The sequence below is a fragment of the Homo sapiens genome, chromosome 20 (assembly GCF_000001405.40).
Source record: "Homo sapiens chromosome 20, GRCh38.p14 Primary Assembly".
Classification (NCBI taxonomy): Eukaryota; Metazoa; Chordata; class Mammalia; order Primates; family Hominidae; genus Homo; species Homo sapiens.
This window is the reverse complement of record NC_000020.11, coordinates 141,648-150,815: the sequence shown is the minus strand read 5'-3', so window position 1 is coordinate 150,815 and position 9,168 is coordinate 141,648. Positions and strand designations below refer to the sequence as shown.

General features: G+C 38.4%; 1 protein-coding gene across 1 annotated transcript, besides 1 other annotated feature; it reads right to left on the bottom strand.

Moving 5' to 3' along the window:
* Positions 4,418–4,919: an enhancer, noted in NCBI's record as "NANOG hESC enhancer chr20:126538-127039 (GRCh37/hg19 assembly coordinates)". NCBI's record gives its function as "activates a minimal SCP1, AML or CMV promoter by ChIP-STARR-seq in naive H9 embryonic stem cells {active_cell/tissue: H9 hESC(naive)}" and the evidence as "EXISTENCE:reporter gene assay evidence [ECO:0000049][PMID:30033119]".
* Positions 5,065–8,226, bottom strand: DEFB126 (defensin beta 126). The gene is made up of 2 exons (NM_030931.4): positions 8,130–8,226; positions 5,065–5,401 (listed from the first exon to the last, which is right to left on the bottom strand). Exons 1-2 carry the CDS (start codon positions 8,185–8,187, stop codon positions 5,124–5,126), a joined length of 336 nt encoding a protein of 111 aa, NP_112193.1. The 5' UTR covers positions 8,188–8,226; the 3' UTR covers positions 5,065–5,123.
* Between the last annotated feature and the right edge of the window lie 942 nt (positions 8,227–9,168).

Below are 9,168 nucleotides of genomic sequence, written 5' to 3'. Positions count from 1 at the left end.
TGGAAATGTAAATTAGTACAACAATGATGTAAAACAGTATGGAGGCTTCTCAAAAAAATAAAAACAGAACTAGTATATGAGCCATCAATCCCTCGTCTTGGTATATACCAAAAAGAAATGAAATCGGCACCATGTAGAGATATCTGTGCTCAGCATTATTCACAATAGCCAAGATATGAAATCAACCTAAGCTGATAGATGAAGACATTATCATCTATCGACATCGATAGATGAACACACTAAATAAATTGTATATATATACAATGGCATATTATTCAGCCTTGACAAAGGAGAGCTTGCCATTCAGAACAACATGGATGAACCCAGAGGACATTATGCTAAGTGAAATAAGACAGACACAGAAAAAAAGTACAGCATGATCTCACTTATACATGGAATTTAAAAATTCAAATACATAGAAGAGTGTAGACCAGTGATTATCAGGGGTGGGGCGGGTGGTGGAGGAAATGGGGGGATGCTCGTCGAAGGGTACAAAGTTGAAGTTGTGTAGGATAAAGTCTAGAGAGCTAAAGGGCAGTATGGGGACTCTAGTTAATAATATGGTGTTGTATACTAGAAATTTGCTAAGAAGATGGATTTCAGGTGCTGTCTCCTCAAAAAATGATAACTATGTGAAGAGAAGGATATGTTAATTTGATTATAGCAATCATTTTACTATGTCTATGTATATCAAAACATCATATTGCATATATCCTTAAATATATACAAGTTGTTATTTTAAAAATCTAGGTGGTATTCCCCACTGCAGTTCTATTCTCAAACCTTCTGCATGTTAATTCTGGTTAGTTCCGTGTGTAGTTATCCAGTTTCAGGGGTCTGCCATGTCTTCTTATTCAGTTTTTAAAATTGTGGTAAAAACAACATTATTCAGTTTTAAAGACACCTATTTTCCAGCACCCTCCTATCCTCTATCCTCACTGACTGGAAGGAGGGTTGATGCCAGCCACGGCTCCCTAGGGATTGAAGTTGAGACCACCCCTTGGTCTTCAATGGTAATGTACTGGCTGGGAAGGGAAGTCTGCTTCAGGCCTTTTATACTATTGGAAGGAAGGGCAATTTCAGTCTCCCCTCAGTTTTCACTGACATGGCACCAGCAGGGAAGGGATTCCTCCCCAGGCCAATCACTACCACTGGTTGAGGGATGGGAGATCTGACTCCCAGCTAGGTCTCTACTGCTAGGTCTCTACTGCCACCGCACAGGCAGTGAAGGGGAATGTTGCTCTGGGCTGCTTCATATGACTGCGTGGGAGCTGGATGCCCAGCCTTTCTTCTAGGTCTCCATTACCAACAAAGGGGAGGAGCGCCATCTTCACCTGTCTGCAAGCCCCATGTGGGAGGTAAGAGTTCAGACTCTCCTCTTAATTTCCACTGACACCTCAAAGAAGAGTGTCCATTGTGTTTAGCTAGGTTAAGGTAAGTATTATGAAAAAGTGCCCAGGAATCTTACTCTCACCTCAGGAGAGAAGTCAGACTTTTGAATGAATATCCAATTGGGATTGAGTATCAGTGACTGGTGAAATCTAAATCTCGTTTAATTTATTTAAGGCAAAAATTTATTCAGCTTTGAGGACGTCGTCAGGATTCGCATGAGATGGGGTAGAGATGCGGCCTTGAGAACAGGTAAAATTGCCTCCCAAATATGGGTCAGGATTCGCATGAGATGGGGTAGAGATGCGGCCTTGAGAACAGGTAAAATTGCCTCCCAAATATGGGTCAGGATTCGCATGAGATGGGGTAGAGATGCGGCCTTGAGAACAGGTAAAATTGCCTCCCAAATATGGTTGTTCTTGTGCAAGACCCTTTTTCTCCCGGAAACTCAGGACTTACATATTTTATTTTTTAAACGTTTCATATTTTAAACCAGAATAACCTATATCTCATATGCCTTTTAAAATCTACATTTCTTAGAATTTCATTGGTGCTAGAGATCACGGTGACCTATATGCCTTATCTATTTTAATTTTTAGAGTGATTCTAAGAGGTAGATGCATGATTATACCTGTCTTGCAAATGAAGAAATTGATATAGAGACCACATGATGAGTAAAAGTAGTAAGGAACAAACCTAGATGTAACCCTAGATACATTTTACTCCAGGTTCCTCAGCTTTAATCATGTTGTCATAATTATCATACAATGCTTTTGTTTAAGAAATTGTGTATTAATGTGCTTGGCACATTGCAGTTTCTCTCACCATAAAGATTCCTTTTCCCTTGGCCTCCTAATGCCATTAGTCAACTCCAAAGTGGGAAAAGAATATTTGCCACCTAAGTTCCAGCACTGCGTGAAGGACGGATGAGATATAAGGCAAGAGGACAGGAGGACAATGTTTCAGGCTGCAGCACTGAGATTATATTCATCGTCTAGAATCAATGTGATAATAGCTCTAAGATGTTTCCAAGGTAGTGATCAAGGTGATTATTGAAAAGTAAGCACAGCAAGTTCTACTAGAACCTTTAAAATCTCATCTGGCTGTTCAAAGAGATCCCATGACCCTCAACTCTGTTACACTCTTCTCAGCCTAATGCGTCTTCCCCCAGGTGAAACATAGGCTATAATCACCCATACTCAGGCAAGACAGCCAAGGCCCAGTGGGCAGGGCCCTGGGGAAATGTGCTGTACTGTTTCTTATCCAGGGAACAACCTGTTACAGCTGAATCCCTATGATATGATTAACATTTTAATAGATTACTCTGGCAACCCTCAAAGTACCTTGAGTGGGAGTGAGTATTTTCTCTGTTCTTCAAATTCAGTAACAGGCTCGAAGATGGGAAATCATTTGTCTGTGGTCCAAGAGTGGATATATGGTGGGATCATGAATGACCTCAGATACATCCAGCTCTAAAGTTATGTTTTTTTCCTACTATTCTCCTCTGCTGAAGTAACTTGCTTCCATCTGCCCACCTTCTTGTGTGAGTTCATGAGTTCTGCCTGCAAAGATAAGCATGGGTGTAAGAGGCAATGATGTCCTACCACATGGGACAAGCCACCTCTCAAAACTCCTCTACTATGTAATGACATAGATCATAGATATGTCTTCTAAAGGAGACAGAAGCCTGTTTCCTGGAGAAGATCTAAAATAAATAAAAATGAGATTTCAGTAACATCCAAAGATCTTTCTGGCCTTCGAGAATCCCTCTTACTTATTCAACAAGAATTAATATAGAATCTTGTTAGGGGATGGTAGGAGAAAGAGAAGATAAGATGGTTCCTGTTCCTAAATAAAATTTCAAAGTCCAGTAGGGGAGAAGACATAAGCAGATATTCAGAGTGAGGCATGTGACATGATGACTTAAAATTCTGGGTAAGTCATAACAGTGGAGCACAAATGGTGGCAGTAGTTCTATTGTGGGTAGAACAGTGTGGTTATCAAAGTCCTCCAGAAGAAAATAAAGATTTTTTTCCAGGCAGTTATAAATGGAGACAGAAAAGTATGTACAAAAACTCAAAACCAGAAGCAATCCAGTGAGTTCAAACCAATCACGAAGAGGTATGTTGGTGGGATAGCAAGATGCCCTGTGACAGTGCTTTGGAGGTAAAACTGGAAACGCAAGGCAGGTTCTGAATGCCAAGAGTGATGAAGGCTGCTCTGAAGAGTTGTCTTAGGATGCTATGGGAAAAGATGCCAGAGGGGAGTCTAATGATTAGATCTGTGTTTCAGAAAAATGATTCTGGCTCTCATTGTGGAGGATAGTTAGGCGTGAGTGTGAAAGGAATGCAGGGCAATCAATGGGAAGGCTATTGCAATCATCCTAGCAGCAGCTGGAGATAGAGGTCATGGTACATATTGGAGGTGGTAGAATGAACATGGATCTTCACTGGAATCAAGTGAAGAAGGAAAAGGAGTCTGTGATGACACTCATGGATTTGTGTCTATAGTGGAGAAAACCCTTCCACCAATGTTTTCTCCAACTTTTATATATCTACATTAAATCTCTAGGATCTTATGGGGTCAAAGGTGAAGTTGACCCCACAAAACATAAGCCAATCTTATATCTTCAGAATCAGAAAGATGTACTATGACAGGGGTGGGGAGAAAGATACTGAGTAAAACGCTAGCATTTCATAAGTGAGCAAACTGAGATGACAAAGACAAACACAGCTACTGTAAGTGTCCAGAAAGCGAAGGCATCTGCATTCCCTATTCTCCCTGTCCAACTATCAGGGAAGTGGGCCTGAGGCATGGATGGATGACTATGATACACCCAGTCATATTCTCTTATTGGTGCAGGCAGAGCATCAATGTAATGTAATGTACGGAAAACATTCTATTGCTTGGGATGAGTGCCTGTCCTAACATTCAGGACACATTATAGAGCTCTTGATCTCCCTTTCATCATATTTAAGTTGGAAGCTATGAATGAGGATTTCCAGGGTGAGAAGAAAATTGGGCAACCTCATGGTGCAGTGACAGAATGTTCTCAGTAGTCAATTTAGTCTGTCCCAGTCTTCTAATGCTTAGAAATCAAGTTTCCTATTCTCTAAAGTGAGGTTATAATACCTACATTCTCAGGTTGTTGTCGGAGGATTCTGTAGGATGATTTTGTATTACTATCTACTCCAAAACTACATAGGAAATGCAGCCTTCAATCTGTAGAAAATCACATTCACAGTCGGCTTTCAATCCTTTCATATTATAAGCTAATTGTTCTCACAGTGTGGTGCCTGGACCAGCAGCCCTAGCATCACCTGGGAACTTGTGAGCAGTGCAAATTCTCAAGCTCCCCTGCAGAATTGGAAACTAAAAGTGAGCCCTAGAAATCTGTGCTTTAGCCATCTCTCCAGGTGTTTCTGATGTACATGAAGTTTGATGATAATTGCTATGGCAAGCTGTGGGCCTAGAACTGTCTTCAAGGAGGACATTGCTACTATCTATCATTCCTGAGTGGGTGTTTTGGACTAACCCTCCCTTGTTCCTGGCCCCTATCTTATTTGCATTTCTACCATAGAAATGCGAGTGCAGTGAAATTGTGGTGCCCTTCCAGACACTGTTGAATGGAGGGAAAGTGGGAAGGGGGCTGTAGAGAGAAAACTGACACCAGAATAAGCCTCTTTGCTTTAATGAGTCGGGGATCCTAGAGCAGGAGACAGAGGCTGGAATGTTCAACCAGTGGGAGAAACGGGGGTAGGAGCCATCGAAGACATCGAAGCAGTAGTCATCATCAAAGTTGTTGTTGCTGTTGTTGCTGTTACTGTTGAAATTCTTGTAGTCTTTGTCTGGACACAGAAAACAGGATAATTAGCACGTCTGTCAGCTGGAACACAGCAGTCCCTTTGTTTGCCGCACATTGCCCAACCATTCTTTACATGCATCTCTTCAGGTTTGCACTTCTTCTTGCAAATTCCAACGTCGTTTAGACACTTTTTCACATACCAATTACCTGAATAAAGGAATTATATAGATTATTAAGCCTAAGTATTTATCACAGGAGGATAAAAAATAGCAATAGTTTTTGAGCACTGTTTATTCAAGTGCCTTTCCAGTTGCTTTAGCATGTTTTTCCTAATCATAAATACCTACTTTGAGGATTAAGTGAAATTTTATAAACACACATAGAATTCTTTAGATATGTATGAGATTCTCATTTCTGAAATCAGAATTCTGTATACAAACACTTACCAGGGGCCAATTCCCCATGATTTTAAATGGGAAAATATATAGCATGTTGTTATACATGAACACAAAATCCCCAAGCAATTTCCTAAAATGTAGCTAAAACACAAACACCTAAACAGAAGTAAAAACTATCATTTCAAAAATAAGAAATGCTAAAATAATTGCTGTCATCTTTCTCACCATTACTGAAACACATATGGCTTTTGTTGCCAATTGGTGAGATTTTCAAAATGTCCCTTACATGTTTCTGAGATCCTAAAAATTATATTTAGAAGATAACTCTAGGCTTATCTTACATATTATCTGGTTAAAAATGTCATGTCAAGTTATGGAAAGATAAATAAAAAATTTTCATCTATACCTATATACCTATATGATATTGAGATATAAGTACATTTTACAAAATTTTGAGAATAAAAAAAGCCATTCCATTAGGAATATATTCATTAGGGAGACATTCTGCAGGGTTTGCCTATATATGTGTACATATTATATACATATGAAAATATCTCATCACATGGTTTAACACATAGAGGCCCTAGAGTGACGCTGGAGCTCTTTCTTACCTTGCTTAACTCATTACTGTACTTAATCAACAAGTATATGATGAGTGCCTACCATGTCAAGAATTCTGCAAGATGCAGGGAATAAAACAATGAACAGAAAGACATGATTTGAGGACCTTACATTGGAGAGGGGGAGAAAGAAAATAAACAAGTAAATGAATAAACAAAATAACTACAGATTGTGATAAGTACAATAAATGAAAGAAATATGAGGTAATTGACAGTAAGTGAACAGAGCAAACGTTTTTGAATGCTATTACCACTACTATTATCCCTTATCAGCTGTTTAATCCTCCTCTGATGATTGAGTTTTTAACATTATATATATGTATATGTTAGAATATATATACACACACACAAAGTGTAGAAAAAGGACAACATACAAGTATGTGATGTATGTCGATGTATGTCACTAATGTTCCAGAGACAGAGGGAGAAATCAGGCAATTTAAACTCATAGAATTTCAAGGATGCAATAGGCCTGAAACATCTTTTGAGACAACCATGAGAGCATTATAATTTCCTCTTATCCACTATCAATTTGAACATTTCTGCAAATTAGGGAATATAAACTACTATCTCTAGAGGCGGGCTATGGAGTTATTATATAACCCATTAGGAAATTATACTAAAGAATATTAGTTTATTTCATTGTGCCTTATGTAAAAAGGTGGGATTGAGTCCGGTGTAAAAAACAAAATCATAGGTGAATAACTGTTCTCAACACGGAGAAGGACTTACTAAGTTAGTGGAAGAATGCAAAGAAAACACCAATAGATTTGACATGAAAATGAAAATTATGTGTCTCAAATAAATAATGCATTTTAGAAGCAACCAATATGTTTGAAAATATTTGCAAGAAATATGAAATACAAATGTTAAAAATACAAATACTCCAATAGTAACCATTGGCAATATGTGCCAGTTAACTTAGAAGAAATAATACCCTTGTACCAAGCAATGGAACTTCTAAAATTTACCTATACAAACAGAGAATCTCACAATGATATATTAATAAGGTTGTACAATGTTATTTACAGTACTCACACATTAGAAAAAATAATCCAAATGACACACAATTAAGGACTTTCCAAGTTAATATTGGTACAAAAATATGACAGAATTATAAGCATCTACTGCAAATTGTATTTTCAAGGAATATTCAAGACCTGTGAAAATTTTCCTGATAGAATCGTAGGTAAAAAAATAAAGCAGGTTATAAGCTCATATATCAGTTGGTTACAAGTGAAAAAATGCAAGCAGTGATGAAATGTGGCCAATTTATTTCTAAATAACTTTCAGTGTTCTTGTCTTGGTTTTGTAAATATAAGCTACAGAATAAATTAAAAATAAGAAATGCTTACACAAACAGAGCTGAAATCTGATATAGACTTCCAATAGTTCCCACACAGAATTTTTTTTTTCATTTTCCATTTTACAGTCCTATACATATATAGAAACAGCCTTTCCTGTTCTGTTAACCACATCCAAGAACAAACAAACAAACAAAAAATCAGAGACCTCTCTGTAAGACCAAGAAAACTGGGGGAAGTAATATTATATAATTGTTACCTCAGGAGGGAATATCGGCAGCAAAAAAAACAAAAGTGAAATGAGGCAGGGCTTGACTGGACTGACCCGAAGTGACAGGATAGAAGTTTGGGATTTCAAGATCATTTCTACCTTTGGAGGCAACTGTATGGGATTTGCCTTACCCTCCTCCCCAGCTCCGATCACAGATCCTGCTCTATCCTGAGAGCCTTCAAGTTTCTTAGAACAGAGGTGGTCTGAAGAAGTAGGACAAATCTCAGCCCTGCTCCCAGTGAGAAGCCAGACCCCATTTCCACAGACCACTTAGAAACAGGGACTCCATGTGCAGGACCCTGTTCCAGGCCAGTGTTTCTTCTTCCCCAAGATTCTGTTTACCTGAGACCAATTGGGCCAGGAGCATAAAAACTGCAAGGGTGAACAGTAGGGACTTCATCAGGAGGCAGTGGGTTCTATAGAGTCCAGAAGTCTCTATTCAGTATGACTCTGAACACAGATCTTTATTGTCCTTCTTAGGTGGGGTTGGGCTCAGCCAGTAGATCGGGAGGATGTAGGATATTGTGCCAACATAGCTTCAATCTATTGGCTAGCAACTCTAATTGAGGCATCACTGTTCAAGAGTCCTGTGCTAGGCATGCCTTGGGGGAAGGATAAAGACTTAGAAGAGAAGTTGCAAACTCTGCTGAAGTGTATGGCAATTTGGAGAGAAAGAATTACAGGAAGAAATTATGCTGCTCTACCAAGGCTGGGTGCTCCTAGCAGTTTTTTCACAGCCTCCAGTGTTAGTTCTATCAGGGTTCATCTTACTGCATGTAGCAGTCTGGTCACCTGCCTGTCTCTCCACCTAAAATACAATGTCTTTCTGAACACTTATGATGTATTATTCATATATATATATAATTCTTTTCTGTACATCATTCTTTTCAGAGAAGGATATAAGCAATTGTTTTTTAACTGACCAAATTAATGCTTTGTTGATGATCTGGAAATTTAGAAAGCCTTTTACAAAGAAATAAATAAGTGCTCAAAGATAAATGCACAAAGAAGTCTTGTCACTCTGTAGAGTAGCATAAAACGAAGTGCATCCATATGATTTAATTCTGTGCTTCTGTTAAAAAGAGTGCAGCAGATTTTATCTTACTAAACATTTTTTGAGTGAAAAAGCAACATTTTAGAACAACATGCATAGCAATGATTCTAATTTATGTGAAAAAGCTATATTTATGTGTATATAAGTAAATGCATGAACTAAAAATGCAAATCACATGTCATTCTAATAAAAGTTGTTTTCTCTGGATGGGATTGAGTTTAAGGTGGCATTCAAAGAGAATTTTATTGTGTTAAAGTTTTTTTTTGAGTGCCTGACTATATTGTGACTGAAAGCTATCAGGTCCTAGAGGTTTTGTTCTTTGTGAGG

Excerpts from the sequence above, each read along its gene's own strand:
- DEFB126 (NM_030931.4), bottom strand. The coding sequence starts at position 8,187 with ATGAAGTCCCTACTGTTCACCCTTGCAGTTTTTATGCTCCTGGCCCAA. Across the intron at positions 5,402-8,129 it reads CCTGGCCCAATTGGTCTCAG|GTAATTGGTATGTGAAAAAG; the intron begins GTAAACAGAATC and ends TCCTTTATTCAG.